The sequence below is a fragment of the Homo sapiens genome, chromosome 6 (assembly GCF_000001405.40).
Source record: "Homo sapiens chromosome 6, GRCh38.p14 Primary Assembly".
Lineage (NCBI taxonomy): Eukaryota > Metazoa > Chordata > Mammalia > Primates > Hominidae > Homo > Homo sapiens.
In genome coordinates, this window is record NC_000006.12 from 127316643 (window position 1) to 127341832 (window position 25190).

Genomic DNA, 25190 nt, shown 5'->3' on the forward strand with positions numbered 1-25190 from the left:
TGTTGTCTGAAATGCAAATAATGCTGTATTTGACTGTTGATATCCTAGGGCTCCTTGAGCTCAGCTTTGCATGAGGTATTAGCAAAGATGTAGGGATAAGAGACAGATCACATACCCTAGATCACTATGGAGTTCTACTCAGGGTAATGACAGGGGAAAGGCATAAGATATACCCATCTGTTATCCTTAAGATGATAAACATATAAGAGAAGAAGGGAAAGAAGGGAAAAGTTATGTTAAGCTTTGATTTTTAAAAAAATATTTCTAAGGCTTTATCTTGGTATTGCCACAACTTATAATTTTCACAAACAAATTTCCTAAGAGTAGTCCAAACTCATTGCCTTGTCTTTTTTTTAGCTCACATACTTTCTTCAATCCAGTGTAATCTGGCCCTCTGCCTTATCCCAAAATCTCTCCTCAAAAGCTTTTAATAATCTCCTACTTGTCAAATTAAATGACTTTTCCTTATTCACCTTTTCTCTCTCCATAACACGTAGTATCTTTCTTTAATCAGTTTCTTCATTCTCATATTTGCTCTCACTTTCTAGCAACATTTACACACCTGGTTCTCTTATTTCTTTGTTTGTTCTTTTCCAGTCTTCTTCCTTGGCTCTTCTTATCCAGCTAATCCCCTAAATCCATGCAGTTTCAAAATTCTAATCCATGATTTTCTCTGTTCTTTATTTATAATTTCTTTTTTTTGGAAGTCTCATCTACTTCCATATAAAGTGCTAAAATCTACTAGACATTTTCACATTCTGATAGCACCTCAAACTCAGCACGGCAAAACCAACTGAAAGTAAAAGAACTGACTTTGAATCCTAGTGCTGCCACTTAATAACAACATGAAATTGAGCAAGTCATGACTACGTAATTCAGTTTCCTCATTCATAAGAAATGAGAAATTAAAAAAAATTGCACTATTTGACTTAAAGGATGTTTAGAAAGATGAAAATATACCTAGAAACTCTATAAAAGATTGCATAAGTGTTCTGTGTTAGTGGAAAAAGTTAGTGTAAGAGTTCTGAGCTAGCGGTCAATAAGGCTCAGATTTTTGGTACTATGTTTGACTTTCCCGTTTCACAATTCTCCCACACTCAGTTAGTTACCAAGTACTTCCCCTCGGATCTACCTTAGAAATATTTCAAATATCAATCCCTTCTTTTATATTTTTGCTGCTGCTGCATTAGTTCATACCTGTGTTACTCAAGCCTTGATTAGTACAGTAAGATGGCTTTGCTTTCTCCCACCCAAGGACTAATCAGACCCAACACTGATTAACTTCTGAGATCGGCAAGATTGGGTGCATTCAGGGTGGTATGGCTGGAGACAACAGCTTTGCTTCCTAACTGATTTCTGTATTTAATTTCTTTTTCCTCTTAAATATAATCTTCCATCCTGCTACCTGATAAACCTTCCTGTAGGATGATGATGTCTTATAGAATAAAACCTAAATTTCTTGGCAAGGCCACTTGATCCCAAACTATCTTATCAACTTTATTGATTACCATACCCCTCCTCCAAGCATCCTAATTTCACCACACAAACTATTTGCCATCCCTCTAACACCTTACACTTATTGTGGCTCCTGTGTCTTTGCTTTTATCATTCCTACTAGTTGTAATAGGCTGTCCTTCTCTCTACCTATTTCAAGGAATGCCCAGATCATATAATATTTTTCCATCAAGATTTTCTAAATCTCACAATAACAATTTTCTCTTTTGTGTTTCAACAGTATTTTTATTTTTATGCCTTAATTATAGTACTTATAAATTGTGTTGTATGAATATGTGTTTAGATGCATTATCAGACACATCATCTCTACAAGATGGGGACTAGAGAACCTAAGAAGTTCTCAATAATTTTGCCAGAGATACAGAAATACAACTATCAAAGTACAGGTATTATACAAAGTGCTTGAACAAACTCAGAAGAGTGTCAAAGAAGAAATTATTCATTTCAATTGGGATGGGGGTAGTTAGACAGGCTTTAGAGAGGAGAAGGGAAGGTGGCATTTGCTAGGTCTAGACAGTAAGTCCCTTGATGGTGACAGTATGCCTTCCCCCTCCTCAGACGCTAGTAAAATGTTTTGCACATAGTGTTTGTTGAACTTAAAAAAATTAGATGAATTTTAGATGGAGAACTATGTTGATTTATAAAACAAATGCAGTCAAGAAAAAGTAAAAGCCAATGTGGAAGGAATTTCCTAATCCAAAGCTGTTATCAGGAAGATCAGTGTATCTCACGAAGTGATGAGAAAATTAACACAGGCACGAGGAGCTAAAAAGCTTTCAAAGTAAACTGGTTTATTCTCTGCTAAAAACCTTTCCAATAAAATCTGTTCTATTACCTATATCAAGTAATTTTAATATGCATATTTGCTCTTGCTACATTTAGATTACATAAAATTCCAATGAAGTATCTAGAATTGGTAGAAATAAAGGTGAAGCAAATTATTAGCCTGTGTACTATTATAATTTTCATTCAAAAGACAAAAGGCACGCTAAAAATGTCTATTAGAAGCAGTATGAAGTAAACGGTTAGGAGCACAGTTTCTAAAGCCAATCTGCCTACATTTGAATCTGGGCTCTAGCACTTTCTAATTAGTTTGACTTTGCCCAAGCTGCTTAACCTCTCTGTCCTACAGTCTCTTATCTGCAAATTGTGCTAACAGTAGTATATATTTTATTAAGGGAGCTAGTAATGATTAAGTTATGGCACAAAATAAGGTTAGAACAGTGTCTGACATACAGTAAGAGAATAAAAGTTATCTATCATTATTATTAATATTACTAACAATACTGGCAATAGATAATGAGTATGTTTTGGTTTTAAGTGTATCATAAAACAGAAGTTTAAGCAGTAATGGCCAACATGCCCTAGAGATGAGAAAGATTTCATTAAATTTGTCCTCCAAAGTTATTAAGCCCACAATGGTTAAATGCTCTGTCCTCTCACTGGGTTGAAGAAAGCAAATAAGCCAGTAAGAGATATCTGTGATAGAGTAAGCTGTGGGTGAGGAACCAGTAAAAAGCTAGACCTGCTCTAATGTATAAAAGCTGGAAGCTGAGAAGTACTAAAACAAGGTTTTCAAAGTTGCTGCAGACAGTGATATTTTCATGCTATCTGGATGATACCTGAGATCCAACCCTACTCCTCTAGCTCCTTCTCATAAAACAAGGATAAGAAGAACAATGCTCAACCAAAATGCCAAAAGGAATGATTAACATCATATGTACTCTAAGCCATGTTTAGAGTGGAAAAATGCCCAGCCTGTAGAAGTATCTTATTTAGAAACAAAAATAAGCCCTTTCTTAAGTGCTTGTTGTATGGATTTATTAATTTCCTCAAAATACATGGAAGAGCTTAGAGAAAATTAAAATAGTTTTTTTTTTGCTAGAGTATTGCTCTGTCTCCCAGGCTGAAGTGCAGTGGCGTGATCTTGGCTCACTGCAACCTCCACCTCCTGGGTTCAAGTGATTCTCCTGCCTCAGCCTTCTGAGTAGCTGGGATTACTGGCACCTGCCACCATGGCCAAGTAATTTTTGTATTTTTAGTAGAAACGGGTTTCACCATGTTGGCCAGGTTGGTCTCGAACTCCTGACCTCAGGTGATCTGCCCACCTCGGCCTCCCAAAGTGCTGGGATTACAGGTGTGAGCTACCGTGCTTGGCCGCTTGTCTGTAAATTAATCAGGGTATGGTACAATAGTAGTAGCAAACACAAGGAAGTCAGACAAGAACTTTGAGGTCACCATAGAAACATAAGCAACAGAGATCGAAGGAACAATAGATTGGGAGAAAAGTAACAAGGAAAGTTAAGGGACAAAGGAGGATATAGTCTTCAAGGTAGATTAAGAACAGAAAGGTTTCTAAATGCCAGACTTTTCCTTGAGGCATTATACTGATCCATTGAAGACTAAGCAGGTTTTTATTTCTCCATATTCTGAAGCTTATAACTGCACTTTGATTACTTATTCCCTCTGAAAAGAAACTTCTTATAGCCTACAGGACATCTGTGGCATCAAATCCAAGTCTTAATATTTAAATATATTTTTTTCTATTTTATTCCTTTGTCTTTCCAATACATAACTTTTCAGCAGGGTTAATGTTTGTGTTATCCTAGTGGATCTCCTGGCCTCTACCATCTGAACCAAGAATTAACTGCCTAATAGGGACAGTTGGAGCTCTTTTCCTGCACAATAACCAAAGCATACCAAGACGCGATCAACTTCTTATGGGATCAGTTACACTTAAAAGAAAAAAAAAGTGGAATAATAGATAAGAAATATAATAAAATATTGATAGGGTTGATGCTCTTATGGGTACATGAGGGTTTCACTGTATTAGTCTCTGCTTTTACCTGTATTTTGTAGTTTACATTAATAAAAAGCTTTTTAAAACTGAAAAAATACAGTAGTAAAAACATCAAAATAATTATATTTTTATGATAAAAAAGCCACTTAATCACTTCCAAGCATTTTATCACTATTAGAAGGGAATATAATCTAATTGCTAAAATTGTCATATATTTCAGTTATCTCATCATCCTCAGAAAGCAAATTCAGCAAGTAAGTAGATGCTAGTGATGCATCTGTAACAACAAAGAGTAAGTATTTGGATAAAGAAGAGCCTCACTAACAGACAAACTGTTTATAACTTAAAGCCATGATAAGTTTCAGAATGTTTCAGCCATGAGGGGTAGATGCATTTATATGTTGCAGCTGTAACTCATATATAATACATGTATAAGCCTCAAAAGTCCTGAGGCCATTTTAAGTTTCAGCTTTACACAGATTTATAGTTCCTTCTCAAGTATATAGGAATATAGTTTATAGGAAACATGGAAATATCGGGAACTTTACATAAACTATTTCTAGTTCTTGTTAATTTTAAAATCATAATGTGATAAACACATTCCATACTTTATATGTATTGTTACAATTCTTAAAATTATCCATATTCAAAGTGCTTACTTTTATGCTATATATTTCTTATACTATGACTTCAGAGATTTCATTAAAGGATAATAAAGAATTCATCTACCCTATAAAATGCTTTTTCAAATAGCTGGACGTCGGGCCAGGTGCAGTGGCTCACGCCTGTAATCCTAGCACTTTGGGAGGCTGAGGCAGGTAGATCACCTGAGGTCAGGAGTTCGAGACCAGCCTGGCCAAAACAGTGAAACCCCATCTCTACTAAAAATACAAAAACTAGCCAGGTGTGGTGGCGGGTGTCTGTAATCCCAGCTACTTGGGAGGCTGAGGCAGGAAAATTGCTTGAACCCAGGAGGTGGAGGTCACAGTGAGCCAAGATCACACCACTGTACTCCAGCCTGGGCAACAGAACCAGACTCCATCTCAAAATAAACAAACAAAAAAGTAGCTAGGCCTGGTGGTTCATGCCTGTAATCCTGGCACTTTGGGAAGCCGAGGAGGGCAGATCATTTGAGGTCAGGAGTTTGAGACCAGCCTGACCAACATGGTGAAACCCTGTCTCTACTAAAAATACAAAAATTAGCTGGGCATGGTGGCCCACGCCTGTAATCCCAGCTACTTAGGAGGCTGAAGCAGGAGAATCACTTGAACCCAGGAGGCGGAGGTTGCAGTGAGTCGAGATCGCTGCCACTGCACTCCAGCCTGGGTGACAGAGCAAGACTCTGTCTCAATAAAATAAAACGAGATCAATGTTTTAAATAAAATAAGATTCTGAGTTCTAGGCATACTCATTGTAAAGCAGATTCACCATTCCACATTTCCTTGATAAGACTGACAGATGTATACAGCAACAAGTGACGAACACTTGCAGTAATACTACTCCTCAGCTGTTAACCAAGATTTACTTCAGGCACTGAAAAGAGCAGATTACTTGGAGAATGTAGGTACTAGAAAGAATGAACTTTACTAAGTGATTCCTTATTTGAAGCTGGAATAAAAACTCTCTCCATGTTTTCCTGCATGACTTATGCCAGACCAATGATGTATATATACTATATATATATGTGTGTATATATATATATACAATGATGTATATATAAAACAATAAGCATGTTTCCACTTCCATCTCTAAATATATAGAAAAAGAATCGTGGTCACATGATCTAAAGAGACAGAAACAACCTTCTAACTAAAAGAAAATTAGAAAGTAAAATAACCACTCACTTTTTAGAGATGTTTTCCTAACCAGCTTATATCAAACCCACAACAGTCTATTATATCATTCTGTCTTTAACAGTGTCTTTCATGAACTAAGGTGAACAGTGATACAACCATTTGAGAGATGAAAAATACATATATATAGGTTGAGCTATGAAAATATGAAATCTAAACGCTCCAAAATCTAAAACTTTTTGAGTGCTGACATGATACTGTAAGTGGAAAATTCCACACCTGATCTCATGTACACAAACTTTGTTTTGCGTACAAAATTAATGAAAATACTGTATAAAATTACCTCCAGGCTGTGTGTTTAAGGTGTATATGAAATATAAGTGAATTTTTTGTTTAGAGTTGGGTTCCATTCCCAGGATATCTCATTATATATATATATGTAAATATTCCAAAATCTGAAAAAATGTAAAATCTGAAATACTTCTAGTTCCAAGCATTTTGGATAAGGGATACTCAACCCGTATAATCAAATGACTTGCAGGTGACATAGCTAATTATTAGATCTTGGAGGGAAAAATCCGTCTTTTCAAATTTCCAGCTTAGTGCTATAACCGTTCAGATACATCACAAATTTAAGTCTAGTGGGGTGCTACAAATTATGCATCATCTCATTAATGATAATGTTTACTAATCTCAAGATCTTTGAAATAAAAATAATAGCTACCTTTTTCAGATACGGTGCTAGTAGGCACTTTATATATATTATCTTGAATCCTCACAATAGCTCAGCGAAATATCCACTATACTCCTCATTTATAGACTAGGAAAATAAGATTTAGAAAGATTAAGTGACTTGCCCAATCACTTAGCCAGAAAGTATTGAAACCAGCTTTCAAATCCAAGTTTATCAAAGCCAGTGTTCTGATTAACCAAAAGATTCTTCCTCACATGTGCAAATAATAATCATATACTACATACAGTGGCATGAGACTTATGGAATATCATGAAAACTTTACTTTTTTCCCTTTCTAATTTCATTTCCTTCCTTTCTTTTCTTTTCTTTGTTTTTCCTAGAAGATGTGGTAGAGGGGGAAGGAGCACTGAATTCATGAAAACAAGTTCCTTGGAGGATTGATAAAGGAAGATGATAGTATTTCTACTCTGTCAGGGTAATTCAAAAGCATATTTTTAAATTTGTTACTACTTCTTGAACTTTACTATGTGCCAGAACTAGGTGATTTATATACATAGCTCATGTAAAACTTATCATGAGATGCTAAAGAGCTTCCACTTAAAGGAATTCAAATTCTTGCTGATTTTTAATGATGACCACTTTTGTTCATTGCTAATCTTCCTGTCCTTCATTTTCTTCAGCCCTTCCCACTACTGCACCCTAATCTTTAAAAAGCAAAACAAATAAACAATAACAAAAGTACTGACTTCATATGACTGCTAAAGGAAAAGTGATGATATTGAATTTGATCTATCATCTTAATATTACTAATTTATATTACCTATTTAAAATGTTACAGTAGCTCCCTCTAGTTTACAAAGCACTTTAGAATACATTAGCTAACTCAATCCTCAAAAACGCCTGTGAGATAGATTTTATATATCCCATGGAGCTGAGGCTAAGAGGAAATTGAGCAACTTTCTCATTTAGTTGAGTGGCAGGCCTATGTCTAAACCCAAGACTTCTCACTCTGCATTAAGAGCTTTTCTTTATCCTATTTTAGTCACAGGTAGGCTCGACTAACCCAGGAATGTGCTATATCAATGTACTTGAAAAACAGAAACACCTAACACCTAGATCTTAGTTTCTATCACCATCCTCTACCATTTTCCATAACCAGGACTCCTTGAAGAAATCACCGATTATATAATTGGAGCAGGGAAAATACAAGATTAACTTGGAGTATCTAATAATACTAGAAAGTAAGGGAGTACTCAAAAAACAAAAGGATAGGGGAGTGACAAAAGAAGACAGGACTTTGGGTCTTTGGTCTTTGGGCTTCCAATGGCCAAAGCTGGAACAATTTGAGCAACAAAATGAATAATGCATATAAAATAAATATCCATGAGTGCATATTGATATAAATAACTGAATAAATAAGTATGTGAGTAAATGGGGAAGAAGACCCAAATCCCCCTTACATAAGAATAATGGACTTATATGTCCCCCTTCCAGGAGATGGAATTTATTTTCCCTTCCCCCTTGAGTGTAGACTAAACTTAGTAACTTGCTTCCAAGGAGTGGAGTACGGAAAGTAAATTTAAAATAGAGTAACCAGGCAAACACTATCTTCGCCAGGTGACCAAGGTTAACATCATTAGTGATAAGTCACCTTGACAGCATATTCCCTTGATGTGATGTGATGAAAATAGAAGCTTACCTCTGGTCTTTCTCTCAGAATCCCATAACCCCAGCCTAATATGAGAAAAACACCAGACAAATTCCATTTGAAGGATATTCTACAGAATATCTAACCAGCACTCTTCAAAACTGCCAAGGTCATGAAAAACAAGGTAAGTCTGAGAAACTATCATAGGTAAGAGGAATCTGAAACAATGACAGCTAAAGGTACTGTGGTGTCCCGGATTTGATCTTGAAGCAGAAAAGGGATACCAGTAGAAAAAGTACTGAAATATGAATGAAGTGTGGAGTTTCTTTTTTCTTTTTAACACTTTGTTGAATTATGACTAACAGGTAAAAAGCTGTACATATTCAATGTATACAACTTGATGAGTTTGTAGATAAGTATACACCCATTAAACCATCACCACTCTCAAGGCCCTGACATATACACTACCTCCCAAAGTTTCCTCCCACCCCTTTTATTATTATTATTATTAACTTTGTGTGTATGTGTAACAAGAACACTCAAGACCAATCCCTGCCCATCCCCACCACCAAGCCCCTGATAATCACCATTCCAGTCCTGGCTTCTCTGAGTTTCACTATTTTTTTGAGACAGGGTCTCACTCTGTCACCCAGGCTGGAGTGCAGTGACACCAACATGGCTCAATGAAGCCTTAAGCTCCTGGACTCAAGCAACCTTCCCGCCTCAGCCTCCCAAGTAGCTGGGACTACAGGCATGTGCCAGCACACCCGGCTAATTTTTTTAATTTTTTGGTAGAGACAAGGACTGGCTATGTTGTCCAGGCTAGTGTTGAACTCCTGGCCTCAAGCAATCCTCCCATCTCAGCCTACCAAAGCACTCATATTATAGGTGTGAGCCACCATGCTAAAATAGGTTTCACTATTTTAGATTCCATATATAAATGAAATCATACAGTAGAGTTTCATTAATAGTAAAGTAACAATGTGGGTTGATATGGTTTGACTCTGTGTCCCCCAACCAAATCTCATGTCAAATTGTAATTCCCAGTGTTGAAGGATGAAGGAGGGGCCTGGTGGAAGGTGACTGGATCATCGGGGTGGATTTCCCCCTTGCTGTTCTTGTGATAGTGAATGAGTTCTCATGAGACCTTGTTGTTTGAAAGTGTGTGGTACTTCTCCCCGCCCTCTGGCTCCACCATGGTAAGATGTGCTTGCTTCACCTTTGCCTTCCACCATAATCCTAAGTTTCCTGAGGCCTCCCAGCCATGCTTCCTGTATAGCGTGCAGAACTGTAAGTCAATGAAATGTCTTTTCTTCATAAACTACCCAGTCTCAGGTAGATCTTTAGAGCAGTGTGAGAACAGACTATCACATCGGTTCATTAGTAGCAATAAATCTATGTACCATAGGAATATAAGATGTTAATAAAAGGGGAAACTGGATGCAGGGTGTACAGGAACTCTGTATTCCATCTGCAACTTTCCTGTAAATTTAAAATTATTCTAAAATTAAAAATATTTTTTAAAAAAGAAATCAATACACTTAAAAATAAACAGACAAAGTGGGGCATTTGAGGGGGCTGGAGTAACATTAACAGCAAGAGAGAGAGAGAATCCCACCCTCCAAAATATCTAACACAACTGAGAGTGTTCTGCTAAACTAGAAATAACAGTAATTTCAAAGCTTTTAACAAGAGCCGTTCGCAGATATACTACTAGTAAAACCTCAGAATCATTTGCTTGTTATATTGTTCCTCCTATAATCCTACCAAAAACAAAACAAACCAAAAAATCCCCATAATCCTTTGAAAGTTATTAAAGTCATCATAACCATTAGTAAAATATAAATGTATCTGCCATACATGTCTAATAAACATGTAGAATCAAATGCATAATTCATATAACACTTGCCTCTGGAGTTCCTAGTGATTTCACAGCATTCAGATCAGATCCTGAAGAGAAAGTATTTTTTGCCCCACGGACAATGAGGCCTTTCCCCTCTGTCCAATTTTCCAATTCAATTACTTTTTCCAGAAGTTGTAGCATCATAACACCTGCCAGAGATGGAAGTGGGAAATCACAAATATATGAAGGTGACTGGAAAAACAGAAATAATTTATAAATCACAAGTGTCAAGCATACTCTTAGGTCCTATATTTTATAAATATTTACTGAGTGTCTATCAAATGCCTACTGCACTGGCACTATGGAGTATACAGAAGAGGTACACATGGCAGGCCCTGCATTGTAAATGTAAATTTATTATGTGTCTATCTCTCCATTTATCTTAAGAAATCACATAAATATATGATTATGTAGAAGAATAAGAATATACTATGCTGTCCTAAGAATAAGAAAACGATATGGTAATAAGAAAAAATTATTTCTTAGGGTAAAGATAAGACATAGACCTGACTTCTCAGCAATACATGTCTCAGTCAATAAAGCTTTATGGGTATAACATGACTATGAGATCTTATGATATATTGGACATATGGTATACAGAACAAAACACAATTCCTATACTACTGACATCAGAATTAGTATAATAGGATGTTAATTGAGGAAATGAGTAATAAATACCATCTTGTTCCATGGTTAACAAACTGTCCTCTGAGGGGCTTGAGGCATACGATGGAAGTTCTTCACAGGCCTACCAACCATTGATTCTATGATTTATAGATTGTTACCTTGATATTACTCCAAAATTCTATTGGAGCTTCTTTATAATAGACAAATTTAACACAGAAACAGCTGGGACTGGCATTTTAAGATCTAATCAATAACTTTTAGATATGCTTATCTTTGGTGATCTTCTAAGTTCACAAAGTTCATGGTTTTCAACATGACTAGTTTTAATTTCCTCTGCCTAGGCAATGCTTTAGAAGCCAATGTATAAAGATCATAACAGCGGGTTAAAACTGGCAAAAAATTTGTACCACAAGGTTCCAAAAGATGGCCCCATTAAATTATGTACACTTCTTTGGAATATAAATCCCACAATGTCAAGAACTATTATTTTCTTTGCCATTTTCTGAAGTAGCCAGGAGTGAGGTGGCTCCACAGTAAATGTTATGTTAATGATACTAACTCACAAATGACTAATGCAGCTATCCTTTCTTATGGCTAATTATGACCTACAGTCATGCACCAACAATGTATCACATATACCATGGTGGTCCCAAGATTAAAATAGAGCTAAAAAATTCCTATCACCTAGTAACCATCATAGCCATTGTAATGTAGTACAATGAATTATTCACATGTTTGTATTACAGTTGCCTATAGTATTCAGGAAGTAACACACTGAATAGGTTTGTAGCCTAGGAGCAGCAAGCTGTATCATATGGTATAGGTGTGTAATAGGTTATACTATCTAGGTGTAAGTACACCCTACAATGTTCACACAATGACAGAGTCACCTAACATATTTCTTAGAATGCATCCCCATCACAAAGCAACAAATGACTGCACTTAAAACTGTAACCCTTTCCAAGGATGTCCTAGATCCTTTAGAAATATCGTTCTTTTGCTTTCAAGTGATATATAGTCTAGTAAGGGAAAGAAGAAACCCATATTTTTAGTATAAGAATAAATCTGTATAGGTTAATATGGGCCTTTAATCACTCATAATATTTAAGGTTCTAAAAAACAGGCCGGGTGCAGTGGCTCACGCCTGTAATCCCAGCACTTTGGGAGGCCAAGGCGGGCAGATCACGAGGTCAGGAGATCGAGACCATCCTGGCCAACACGGTGAAACCCCTTCTCTACTAAAAATATAAAAAAACTAGCCGGGCGTGGTGGCAGGCGCCTGTAGTCCCAGCTAGTCCGGAGGCTGAGGCAGGAGAATGGCGTAAACCCGGGAGGCAGAGCTTGCAGTGAGCTGAGATCGCGCCACTGCACTCCAGCCTAGGCGACAGAGTGAGACTCCATCTCAAAAAAAGTAAAATAAATAAAATAAAAATAAATAAATAAAAAAAACAATGTTGGCCTTTGTTTTAAAACCTTTCCTATGGTGCTGATTTTTTTTTAAACCTTTCCTATGATGCTGAAATGCTGGCCATGAGAATAAGAAAAATCCATACCAGTAGTTACTGTTAAACTAATCTTTTCAAGTTTGCAAAGTAAACCTCAAAAGATGGAAGAGACCTTAAAGAGTATCTAACTGAATGATTTTTAAACAAGGGCCTTGAGTGCTCATTCATCCTCTCCCAATCCAACTCCACCAAATACCATTACCCAAATCAAAGCATTAGTTTTATATATTATGCATCAAAATAATATGTTTCTAATTGAATAAAAAATTATTTGTAACTTTTCAGAAATAAATCATCACTATTGATCCAATTTAACCTTCTAGAGAAATTTTACCTTTCAATTTCTATTTTTCCTGGACTAATATTAAATTGGTTTTTATTCCCTAAACCAACTGAACATATAGAACTACAAAGTCTAATAAGGTAGTCACTAGTCACCTGTGTGTACTGAGCACTTGATACGTGGCTAGTCCAAATTAAGATGTGTCATAAGTATAAAATAAATACCAGATTTCAGAGACTTAGTATGAAAATAAAAAGAAAAATACCTCATAATTGTTTATATTAGTGACATATTGAAAAAAATATTTTGGATATACTGAGTTATAAGTGAATTGTTAAACTTAATTTTACCTTTTTTAAATTTTTTTAAACTATGGTTACTAGAATATTTAAAATTGCACATGTGGCTCACCTTTGTTTCTTACATTATGTTTTCATTGGTCAGCACTGGTATAGAGAAATCTCTCTGAATTCTGGTAAGTGGAGAGAAAAGTCATCTTGGGTTTAAAGACTCACCACTGGTAATTTACAAAGGGTTTACAGACTATTGAATTATGTCTATAGTACAACTGTATATAAAGTAGATACATGAAAATTTTGTGAGATTTTCTGAGCCTCAAATTTCAAATGCTACTAAAGATTATAATCATGAAGTGCATAACTGAAAAGGAGAGATTACTAAAATCAACTTGAAAATAGGAGTGGTGAGTATTCAACAAGGCTACTCATTAGCTCCTGCATAACACAGTGGTAGCGTAGTTCAAATTTGAGCTTCAGCAAAAATTACAAAGTACCACATGTCCTGCATCTTCAGTTCTCTTAAATATAAAATTCTTATATGCTAAGAGTGTTGACTAGAAAATAGAAGGCATTCACCAGTATCTAAGAGTTAGGGAAGATTCCACAGCTGGACAAGTGCCGTGTTTCTTCTGTAACCATGGAATTAAAAGGTTAAAAACTAACAATGATTTTATTTCAATTCACAGAAAAAAATTAAGCTAAATAATTCTTTTCATTAACAGGCTTTTCTCTTTAGTTTCAGGAACTCTTTGAAACCTCTTTCTCCTTGTTTCCTAGTAGCATTAGCTGAAAACAAATGAAGTTATTAAACAGTTAATGAATTTCGGTGGAAAATATAATCAAGATTAATTTAGATTTCCTTTTTATCAATATCTGTATTAATGAGTTTTCTGAAAACATTCAAATATCCATAATCATTAAAAGTTACTTAAAGTGTTTCTAGTTCATATTACAGAGTTGTTGTTTTTGTTATTTTTCTCATGTTCTACCAAGAGTACAAGGACTTTAAAACATTCTGTCACCACAGCAAGGATAAAAAAACTTGTGATAACAGTTTAGATTTAGTGTCATTCTTTAGGAATAAAAAGATCCCTAATACCTGAAAAGGCATTCATTCTACTTGGATTGTTCAGAGTAAGAATGCCAATGCCATTGTCTTCCTTCTGAAGGTCAATGGATCCACCAGGAAACTGCTGAAGTGTTTTTTTCACTTCTTCCTCATAAAATCCATGGGATGTACTATAAAGTGACAATCCTGTTTGATGTAGCAATTTTGTCCTTCCAGACAGAGAGGCTGTCTTCAAAAGACTTTTCGCCATTTCTGGAAAACAGAAATAAGTATGCGGTAGTATAGATGAATAGGCACTCACTTTTCTAATATTATGTGTTAATAGGCTGTAGTAATGGACCCTTCTGTTGAGTTGGGAATACTTCCCCATTTCTTTTTTTTTTTTTTTTGAGACAATTTCACCCTGTTGCCCAGGCTGGAGTACAGTGAAGCTCTCAGCTCACTGAAACCTCTGCCTCCCAGCTTCAAACGATTCTCCTATCTCAGCTTCCCAATTACCTGAGACTACAGGCACCCATGACCACGCCTGGCTAATTTTTATATTTTTAGTAGAGGCAGGGTTTCACCATGTTAACCAGGCTGGTCTCGAACTCCTGACCTCAAATGATCCACCCACCTCAGCCTCCCAAAGTGCTGGGATTATAGGCGTGAGCTGTCCCATCTGGCCACTTCCCCATTTCTAAAAGCACTCTTTCAGGAAATGATCAGTATGGAATTCCTTTCATTTTTCCCTCCTTCTCAAACCAAATAATTCACAAAGCATATCATTTCAGTATATATCACTAAGAGACAATGGCATAATTACAGTATATTTACTGTGCTCCAATACAATAGGAAAGCTTAGAAAAAATGCTGCTCTGTATTTTGCACCATCTCCTGCCTCTAGGTAGTCTTTTGCATCACATGCTTCTTCATTCTCCAACTCTTAACTTTTTTAAAATCTAAGAATAAATATAGTCCAAGTGTCCCCTTGGAAACAGCCTCTATGCAGAAATGCTGCAAGAGCAATCCCACTCTCTAACAGAAGTTTTATTCTTAGCATTATTCTTACCTTCTGCAAAGCTTTCAGGCAAAAAGCTGGAAAGGGTCCTAAGAAAAATGGGGAGGGAAATAGGAATGTGTGTGTGGTTTTTCTGTTCCCCAAGGTTCTGTCACTTTTCTCCTCTTAATTTTTACCTCCTGAGTAATCTCATCTCTGCCCATAAGCTTTTCTTGCCCTATGTAAACATCCTTGTTGATATAAGATTATATGCAAAAAAGTATATAAAATATAAGTTACAGTTCAATGAATTTTCACAAGGTGAATACATTCTAGTAAATGGAACCCAAATCAAGAAACAGAACATAACCTGAAGCTCACAAGATCCTCTGTGTCACCTTTCAGTCAAAACCCTTCAAGTAAAAGTAACTTCTTGACTTCTAATACACGAGATTACTTTTGAACTTTATATAAATACTATATATTGTGTGTCTGGTTTCAATTTTATTAGCATCCATTAGTGTTATGTGTAATCAGAGTCTAAATAGTCCATTATTCTCATGGCTGTATTCTATTTGTGAACCCAAAATATCTGAGACAGGTCTCAACCAATTCAGAATATTTATTTTGCCAAGGTTAGGAATGCACTCAAGACACAGACTCAGGAGGTTCTGACCACATGTGCCCAAGGTGGTCGGGGTATGACTTGACTTTTACACATTTTGGGGAGACATGGGACATCAATCAATATGTGTAAGATGTTCACTGGTCTGACTGAGGTAAGGCAGGACAACTCTAAACTTCTGTGGGGGAGGGTGGTGGGGAGGCAGGAGGTGGATGTAGGGGAGTTCTTCCGGGTCACAGGTAGATAATAGACAAAAGGTTGCATTCTTTTGAGTACCTCATCAGCCTTCTACTGAATACACAATTTAGTCTGGCTCAGTGAATCTGCATTTTTACATAAACAATAGGGCAGAGGAAGTAATCAGATGTGCATTTGTCTGAAGTTAGCAGAGGGATGACTTGCTTTTTGGGGGCAGGGGAGGGGTGTTTGAGACAGTCTCTCCTTTGTTGCCCAGGCTGTAATGCAGTGGGCACTATCTCCACTCACTGAAACCTCAGCCTCCCAGGTTGAAGTGATTCTCGTGCCTAAGCCTCCCGAGTAGCTGGGACTATAGGTATATGCCAACATGCCAAGCTAATTTTTCTATTTTTAGTAAAGACAGAGTTTCGCCATTTTGGACAGGCTGATCTCAAGTTCCTGGCCTCAAGTGATCCACCCACCTTGGCTTCCCAAAGTGCTGGGATTACAGGTGTGAGCCACCACGCCCAGCCCAGAGGGATGGCTTTCTGTCCAGCACCTATGAACATAAGCTATCGGTTTAAATGTCAGAGTGAAATTCAACAGAAGTTAGTTTTAGGGTAAAGATCTTAAGGATCACAAGGAATTTCCTTATGGACAAACTGGGAAGGAGGTATGTAGCTCTTTTATCTTTTCAGCCATCTTATTTAGGAATAATATAGGAGTTAGGTTTACCTGATGTAGTTCCCAGCTTGACTTTTCCCTTGGCTTAGTGATTTTGGGGTCCTGAGATCTATTTTCCTTTCACATATTATATAAATATACCACAATTTATCTATTCTAATCTTAATAGACATTTGGATTATTTCTAGCTTTTGGCATGACTATAGAGTAGTTATGAACATTTTAGCATGTGTCTTTTGATCAATACATACCCATGTCTGATGGGTATGTATCTAGGAATGAAATTGTTGGGTTGGTGTGCTGCGGCCCAGTCTACACTGATGATTAAACATTTATTTTGCAAGTTGGTTCTTTAAACTATCAGTAGCTTGAAATTGACCATGGTGGGACTACATGACATATCAATCATACTCTCTTTCTCTTACACACACACACACACACACACACACACACACACACACACACACACACAGTTTACCAGTATACCACCAGTTATAATGTATGCATTTGCTCAACCTTAGAATATACTGTCAGTTTTTTAAAATAGCTGTACAAATGTATATTCCCACAGGCAGTGAAAGCTCCAGTTGCTCCACAAGTATCACTTCTTCTTTGTTTTTTCTATTTTAGGCATTCTAGTGGATGGTATCTTACTGTGGTTTCATTTTGTGTTTCTATAATGTCTAACGAAGATAAACCCCATTTTCTTATGCTTATTGGTCATTTGCATATCATCTTTTGTGAAGTTCCTGTGCAAGCTTTTTGCCCATTATTTCTATTTATTTGCCTTTTTATTAATTTGTTAGAGATCTTTTATTCTTCTGCTCACAACTTTCCTAAAACCTACAAGACATGAATCTCACATTTCTATCTCTAATTCAGACCTTATGCCTGTACTCCTTAGTATTGCCTAACAGAAATGCAATCCCTTACCCCTCATTTCTAGATTTATCATAGGCTTCTCAAAATCATTATTTAATCCTGAACTCATACTTCACGTAAAACCCATTACTCCTTCTTTCCCTGAACTATTCATTGTATCATCAACCCTGTAATCTATGCCAGAAAACCTCTAAATCAACCCAGTCTCCTTCTCCACCACTATTTGGAGGTCCGTATGCAATGGCCCTCCAAAATGGTTACTTCCTTCTGATCTTTCCCTCTCCTATTACTAATACAGTTCAAACTTCATTACATATAATCTGAATTAATACAACAGTCACCAGTTAGTAGCATACTGTTCTTTAGAGTAATGTGGATATGATTATAATCCAATCAGGACATTTCAAATTTAAGGTTTCTCAGTAGCTGTCTACCAAAAGGATCAAGTCCAAAGCTTTTTTTAAATTCTTACCTAAATCCTGAATCTCTTCTCGTCTGATATCTCTACACAATCAATACAGAACACCAAATAACCAGAGTCCCACAAATTTACCATGCTATTTTATATTATTGCTTCTCCCCTATATTGTTCTTTCCTCCCTCATTAACCTGGTAAATCCCCAATCATTTTTAAAAACTGAATTTCTATATTTCCACCTAAAAGTGATTCCCCAAGTAAAGATAATCACTCCCTTTATTTATCCCAGCTCAGTATACTGCAATAATGTTCCATTTTAACACATTCCTCAAATCATTTCAATTTTTCATTTGTTTTTCTCAGTTGGAAGGATGCTTCCTGAGAGTATTCTGAGGTACATACTTTGTGTCACTAGTGGCTACAGTACTTAATACATAAAAGGTACTTACTTAATAGTTAATGAGGGAGAATGTAGGCAAGTAAAAAAAATAACTCATCACGCAGCCAAAAGGAATGCCACAAACTTGTTTTATAGCTTTAAAAATATATCTAATATGTGAGTTATAAAATGGTATCAGAAACTGACAGAGAACATATAAAGGTTACAATACAATATCTGGTTTCCACTTTAAGTCACATGGCCTTCAAGTGACATTTTTACCAAAGTGTTTCCAATGAATACTTACCTGAACACACAGTGGGATGTAATCCCCTCAAACACATATATTTCAAAAACTTGAGAACAGTATTTCAAAACTTTACCAACTAAGGTGGCTTATAACTACAATATTGAAGATACCAAGACCTTTCTTAAATCTCCTCAAGGAGACTGAAGTGTAACTCAGATAAATTGTGACCTAATGCATTATATTTTAGAGTGTGACAAAAAAAGTAGCGGGGTGCTTGTCATCTTAAAAAATGGTATCTAAGAATAAAAACTTGATGTTATTTTTCCAAGAAAAAAAAGATGTTCTAACTTGCCATCATAAATCTTTGATAGGACCTGCTTTTAACTGTCATAACTTTATTCTTTCCCTTAATTTCAAATCTGTTATCGTCTTTCTTTGTATCCTCCCTCCCTCCCACCAAAAAAGTCACCAGTTGCCAGCAGCTATGGTTACCGAATAAAGAATAATGAAAGCACTGGGTGACCTACTTAATGAATTGTGATTAATAAGGTTTGGGTCAATGTGATATACAAAACTAATAAGCAACTAATAAGGAAAGTGGTCAAATGTTACAAGTTGCAAAATATCTAAATATTTAGTATTTTCAATACTTTAATGTCTTCATCTATTGGCAATTCCATACTCCTTTTCCAAAACTCATACAGTATAACTTATGAGACATCCTTCCATCCCATCACCTGTTCTGTCAAATTAGAAAATGATACGGTATTAACTGATTCTATGGTATTAACAGATTTTAAGGTATCTAAGGCCTCCTGAAGAACTAGAAAGCTAGAGGGAACAATGATCAAACATGATTTTGCAACATTCTAGGATATTTTCAGTTAATTCAAGGTACCCTGCAAGATTTTTAAAATAAACTTCAAAATAAAAGAATCTAATTAGAACATGGAAATGTTTAGTGACACAATAAAGGCAGAATGAAAGTTTATATCACAGATGTTCTCACCACCTAATTTAGTGCAATAATAGGTACTTTACCAGTACTACATAAAATTACCGGGCATGTAGAAGAATGAGAGGATACTGTGAAACTAAATAAAATTTTTAAATGCCAAAAATTACTGCCATATACTTAAATAATAGATTATTTAATTTTAAACAAATGATTCACTTGAAATAATGTTCCTGCAAATATTATTTTCATTCACTGAATATTATTCCCCATATTTAACTTATCTCTTTCCCTTATATAGCTCCATTACCCAAAACTGCAGTCTGGTTCAAAGACCTATTTCCCTGCTTTCCCAAAGGGAAGTAAAAGTTCTGTCTATGGAAAGGAAGTATTTCTGAAATTATTACCATTAGTTATCTACCATTATTGGAAAATGAGCTATCCTGGTCAAATAAACTCTCTCTTTAACTGGAAAGCAAAACTTTCCTGGGCAAGGACAAATTCTGTGGTTGAGAGTTTTCTTGCTCTAAGGCACACAGAACTGTATTTTTAAATATTTTACCCTGAAGGAGAAATAAAGTGATAAGCATAGAAAATTCAAGTCTACGGAAAATGGAAGCGGGGAAAAGTTTTACAAATAAAATGTTACCAATTACAAAGTGTGAAGTGGTTATGAAAAAAACACCAAGGATTTTAGACACTTTCTAAGTTATCACTCAAATGTAAATATCAAGTTGCCTCAAAATCTCTTAGCTAGTGGAAGCAACTTAAACTAAAAATTTCAGACTTTATTGAGAAATGCCAAGCAATGGGGCTTGAAACAAATTGGTTAACCACACTGAGGACTAAGCTCTGATTTTTTAATCTTGCCCAAATTCCCACCTAAGGGGTCTGGGGAGTCATGCCCTACAAACCATAAATTCTCATCAGATGGGTTTTATTTAACCCTGTATATTGTGACTTACTTTTCAATCTGACTCTGGCATAACATTCTAAGACAAGAAGAAAATATTTAATTCCTAAATACATTTCCTTGCCATACCCTGAAATTGCCCTGCGAAGTTTCTTGTGGGAAAAATCCACATTCTACAGAGCCTCCCCTTCCCGCTTTGTTTTCCTTCCTTTCTTTCCAGATCCAGGAGATAATCAACTAAGAGCCAAGCACCCTTCTAGGTCTGATAAGAAACATTTTACAACCTGCTCTCTCTGAAGTCTGCTGAGAGATTCCTCTGCACAAAAAAACTTGGTCTCCACAATCCTTTATCTTTAACCTGAACATTCCTTTCTATGGATCCCAGGTCTTTAGACAAACTCAACCAAATGTCAACCAGAAAGTTTAAATTTACCTATACCCTGGAAGCACCCCCGCTTTAAGTTGTCCCTCCTTTCTGAACCAAACCAATGTATTTCTTAAATGTATTTGATTGATGTTTCATGCCTTCCTAAAATATGTAAAACCAAGTTGTACCCCAGCCACCTTGGGCACATGTTCTCAGGACCTGAGGGCTGTGTCACAGGCCATGGTCACTCATATTTGGCTCAGAATAAATCTCTTAAAATATTTTACAGAGTTTGACTGTTCGCATCAACAACACCTATATTCTCATGACAGGATGTATTTATGTTTGTAATCTCCATTCATAATCATAACCCTCCCATACTCAACCATTATTCTTTCTGTTTCACCTCCCCTTTCACTACCCTTAGACCGAAGTTCAGTGGTCAAAGTCTATGAGAAAAATAGGAAATATACCAAAATATATCATTCAAAATGAATTCTGAAGCTTTCTTTACTTTTTTAAAGGCAAATTTTTAAAAACATAGTAACTGGATTAGCAATTAAGACAAATATTTTCAAACAGGATGGTATTCTTCACTGGATTATTTAAAGTAGGTAAGTAGATATTTAGCTGCATTCTCAGAAATAAAAACAGTTATTAGTTTCTTGGCATATGGACCATTAAATTTACATTTATATGTAGACTTTTCTGGCCAAGAAATGGGATCCAAGTGTATAGACATATATGCATATGTTAAGAGCATTTGGTAAGAGGTAGTTCTGTAGCAATTCAATGGCTATTTACTGAATTCCTATTAGTGATCACCCCATTGTTAGCGATTTCAGAGAGAAAGCATCTTTAAAAGTTTTCAGTTTTGTCAGAGAAACAAAATATGCACACATAAAGCAAAAATAACTCAAATATCTAATTGAAAATAGAGCAAAGTATCTCCTTTTATTGAGCTCTACTAGAGAGTTCCATTAAATTTAATGTATAATCTTAACTTCATAAAAGGATATCTTTTTTTTTTCCACCAGTAAACCTTTATCATGTAGTCTAAGGATTTTCTTTAGGTATAAATGAATCCAATAACATTAAATCAGTGCATGGAATTATGATGCTTTATTGCCCTTCTTTCTAATTTTTAAAATTCTAAGCAGAAGCACAACCAAAATCAAGCAACATACCAGCTCTGCTAGGGAGTAAAGTAAATATCAAATGTATATACTCACATACATATATATAAAACCAGAATTATCCTACATATGTGTAACCAGAATTTTTATGGTTATGAAACAGTGCAATACTAGTGTTTCACAGCTATATATTACTTCTATAACAAATGACTTTTGTTCACTGAGTTGAAATTTATGTTACATTGCATTTGGCCAGAAAGAAAAGAAACACAGATGTGATGAATGAAGAAAAATACCAGTTGAGTCACCTAACCAGTACTGAAAAAGTTAAGTTTCAAAATACGGGTATGTTCTATTTCTTAACCTAGATAATGCATCCACAGTTATTTCTTTTGTTGTTGTTCTTTAAATTCATCTTATACATTTTACTCTCTAGGTATGTGTGCTACATTTACTTCTCAGGAAACTTTTTCTTTTTAAATAGAAGAGTATCATTCCAAATATTGACAGATGTCCTGTTCAGGAATTCCTTCCAATCTCCTAAACTGCCAGTTGCAAAACTAGTTTCTTCAGACCTCTACTTTACATATTGCATCAGTAGCCACTAACAATAATTACAGCCTATAGATATCTGAAATTTCTTTGTTGACAAGTCTGGCAGCTAAGCAAAGGTCCTTATTAAAGGTAATGATATTTCTTAAAAAATCATGCACAACCAGAAAACATAACAGAAAGGTACATACGAGATAAGCTGTAGCATTTTAGGGGTGATCAGGACAGGGACTGCATCTTACAGCTCTTAACGCAGAATTTTACATTAAATTTTTGTGGAACTAAATGACACATAATGTGGTTATTACTATATAGGTATTATGGTACCTAGTCATCATTTTCTAAACTAAAGATAATATCTATATTTACAAAATAAGAAAAAAAGAACTATTTCAGGCCAGGTACGGTGGCTTATGCCTGTAATCCCAGCACTCTAGGAGACCAAAGTGGGCAGATCGCCTGAGGTCAGGAGTTTGAGACCAGCCTGGCCAACATGGCGAAACCCCATCTCTACTAAAAATACAAAAATCAGCCAGGTGTAGTGGCACACACCTCTAATCCTAGTTACTCAGGAGGCTGAGGCAGGAGAATAACTTGAACCCAGGAAACGGAAATTGCAGTGAGCCAAGATCACACCACTGCACTCCAGCCATGGTGACAGAGCGAGAGACTCTGTCTCAAAAAAAAAAAAAAAGAAAGAAAGAAAAAGAAAAAAGAACTATTTCACTGTTGGGGTTTTTAAAAAATGCAAACCCAGGGGGTGTGGCTACAAGTGAGGGTATCATAGTCAGCCAAATAAATAAATAATCTTTCACTGGCCTCTGGTCAGCTTGCCAAAGAGCCACACCTTCTCCATCACTCCTAGCTGAGGAATCTCTGCTCCTCTTCAGAAAGGGAAGGCAAGAGCTCCTTGTCTGGTTTTATTCATATTTACAAAATGGGTTTATATGCAACATAATCTCTATTGGATCACTAATAAAAATATTGACACTTTTTAAGAAATGAGGTTAATAGACAATACAAAGTCATTCTACATATCTACATATAATACATATCGTATAAGGGTCTAGTTAGTAGTATTCTTCCTACTTTAACTATTTGAACAGATTTTCTCACAAGACTGTTAGGTGTGAGTTAAGGATAACCTGATGCATTTTCTATAACTTTCTCAGAATGAGAGGCAATTTACCCAGTAGGTATTGAGATAAGACTTGACTCACTGTGTCCTTCCCTTCTTCATTCTATTTACTGAGGATGAAGGGAACTTGCTTTCTCCCTCTCTCCCTTTCTCCCTCCTCTCTCCTCTCTGCAACCTAGGGCTGCCTTCAATTTGGGAAGTGTCCCATTCTAAGAAGGCCAAATAGCCTAGAGCTCAGGGTTCCTTAGGAATGCTTCTAGTCTAGGGAAAATAAGCTGTCAAGGTCATGTACCAGTTCAGCTAATAAACCTGGGAGGCCTACATATTCAGAGCCAAACATAGCATGCCTAGGGTCTTGCTTTTGCCTAGAATATGCCGTTAATCAGGTATGAAGATACAACCCAATGAAGCAGATACATGTGGGGCAGAGGCCCCAATTTCCACCTTGATAACTTTAGAATAAAAGTGCTAAAGAAACTTGGTAAGGACTTAGATAGTTGCTTTAAAAGTTTTTTTTTTTTTTGCCTGTCTGCCATAATCCTCTGTTTAGAGGAAGAAACAAGGAGTTAATCTAGAAAATAAGGAGGAGGGACTTATAAAAGCATTAGCATTTTGTGGGAAAGTAGAATCAGTAAACAACATATCTTCTGCTCTCATTGTAAAGGGTCTGTCTGCTCTGTCTTGATACATTACCCCTCTCTCCAACATCAACACTACAGCAATTAGTATGAACGCCATCAGATCTATATCCTTTTATCCTCAAATCTTTAAAACATTAAATATTTAAGTAATAGTAGTATTTTGCCTCATTAGACATCTTTGATCCATCACTGAAATGCCAATTTTTCCAAGAAAATCTTGTAATACTTCATGTATCCTTTCTCTATTAATTCCATATTTTCTATCTTCTCTCATTCTATTCCCTCCCACTACTGTCTCTCCTTTTCTCTCCTCCTCTTATATTCCTTGTCTGTGCCAGAAAAACCTGAGAACACTGCTTAAGCCTGCTAGATTCACTGACCCCAAGTTTAGAAATCCAATTCTAAAAATTTTATAATAGCCTATTATGTACACTTTCGTCCCAGTTCTAAATTCAGAGACTATCTTAGACAAAAGCTCAGTGATGAGATGACAAGGTGTTAGTCATTATTAACCTACTATAGTATCTAATAGTATAAAGTGAACAAAGCTTAAGATTCAGGTTCTGTAGAAGTATGTAGTTAAACGATTGGTTTTTTTTGGATTTCTTCCAGAATCACAGGAAGATGAAAAGGTTCTGAAGCATTTACAATTTTATAAGCTTTCTTCGGGGTAAAACTTATGTTTAAAACTTGCCATGCAGGATGTCTTGCAGCCCCACCACAAAGAAGATTCAGTGGAGCTGAACAAGCTCACTACCAAGCCACTGAAAAGAGGAAAGAAAGTCCATCTGAGATCAAAGGTCGCACTTCCCATTTTTTTCAAGTTCTGCAAAGGTGATCTGTTTCCCTTTAGTGCACAGGAAATAAGTGAGATGTTCTCTAAAAGCCTTTACCTGTTTCACCTTATACTGTAATCACTAAATCCAGAAGACTAACGCAAACTCATACTTAAAAAGAA

The 25190-nt window shown here is 36.0% G+C and overlaps 1 protein-coding gene, 1 long non-coding RNA gene and 1 pseudogene across 13 annotated transcripts in view, besides 2 other annotated features; 1 reads left to right on the forward strand and 2 right to left on the reverse strand.

The window, feature by feature from the left end:
- The window catches only part of ECHDC1 (ethylmalonyl-CoA decarboxylase 1), a 54898-nt gene that overhangs the window by 27931 nt on the left and 1777 nt on the right, over nucleotides 1–25190 (reverse strand). For 5 of the 11 annotated variants that reach the window (NM_018479.4, NM_001002030.2, NM_001139510.2 and 2 more), the window contains exons 2-3: nucleotides 14167–14388; nucleotides 10360–10502 (exon numbers count right to left, since the gene is read on the reverse strand). In NM_018479.4, the coding sequence (NP_060949.2) occupies nucleotides 10360–10502; nucleotides 14167–14386 (363 nt within the window). In that variant the 5' untranslated portion in view covers nucleotides 14387–14388. Of the gene's footprint in view, nucleotides 1–10359; nucleotides 10503–14166; nucleotides 14389–15187; nucleotides 15226–25190 lie in introns of all 11 variants that reach the window. The other 6 variants (XM_005267047.4, XM_047419071.1, XM_047419073.1 and 3 more) reach the window with 2 other exon arrangements.
- On the forward strand, nucleotides 343–25017 carry LOC105377994 (uncharacterized). 2 transcript variants are annotated; one of them, XR_001744334.2, is made up of 4 exons: nucleotides 343–7277; nucleotides 8520–8634; nucleotides 22158–22227; nucleotides 24845–25017. It is a non-coding gene; the product is annotated as an uncharacterized LOC105377994 (long non-coding RNA). The 2 variants fall into 2 exon arrangements; XR_001744333.2 differs by having other exon boundaries at nucleotides 343–8634; nucleotides 22158–22246.
- RNA5SP217 (RNA, 5S ribosomal pseudogene 217) lies at nucleotides 1241–1331 on the reverse strand (annotated as a pseudogene).
- Nucleotides 15771–16321: an enhancer, noted in NCBI's record as "NANOG-H3K27ac hESC enhancer chr6:127653558-127654108 (GRCh37/hg19 assembly coordinates)". NCBI's record gives its function as "activates a minimal SCP1, AML or CMV promoter by ChIP-STARR-seq in primed H9 embryonic stem cells {active_cell/tissue: H9 hESC(primed)}" and the evidence as "EXISTENCE:reporter gene assay evidence [ECO:0000049][PMID:30033119]".
- Nucleotides 16322–16871: an enhancer, noted in NCBI's record as "H3K27ac hESC enhancer chr6:127654109-127654658 (GRCh37/hg19 assembly coordinates)". NCBI's record gives its function as "activates a minimal SCP1, AML or CMV promoter by ChIP-STARR-seq in primed H9 embryonic stem cells {active_cell/tissue: H9 hESC(primed)}" and the evidence as "EXISTENCE:reporter gene assay evidence [ECO:0000049][PMID:30033119]".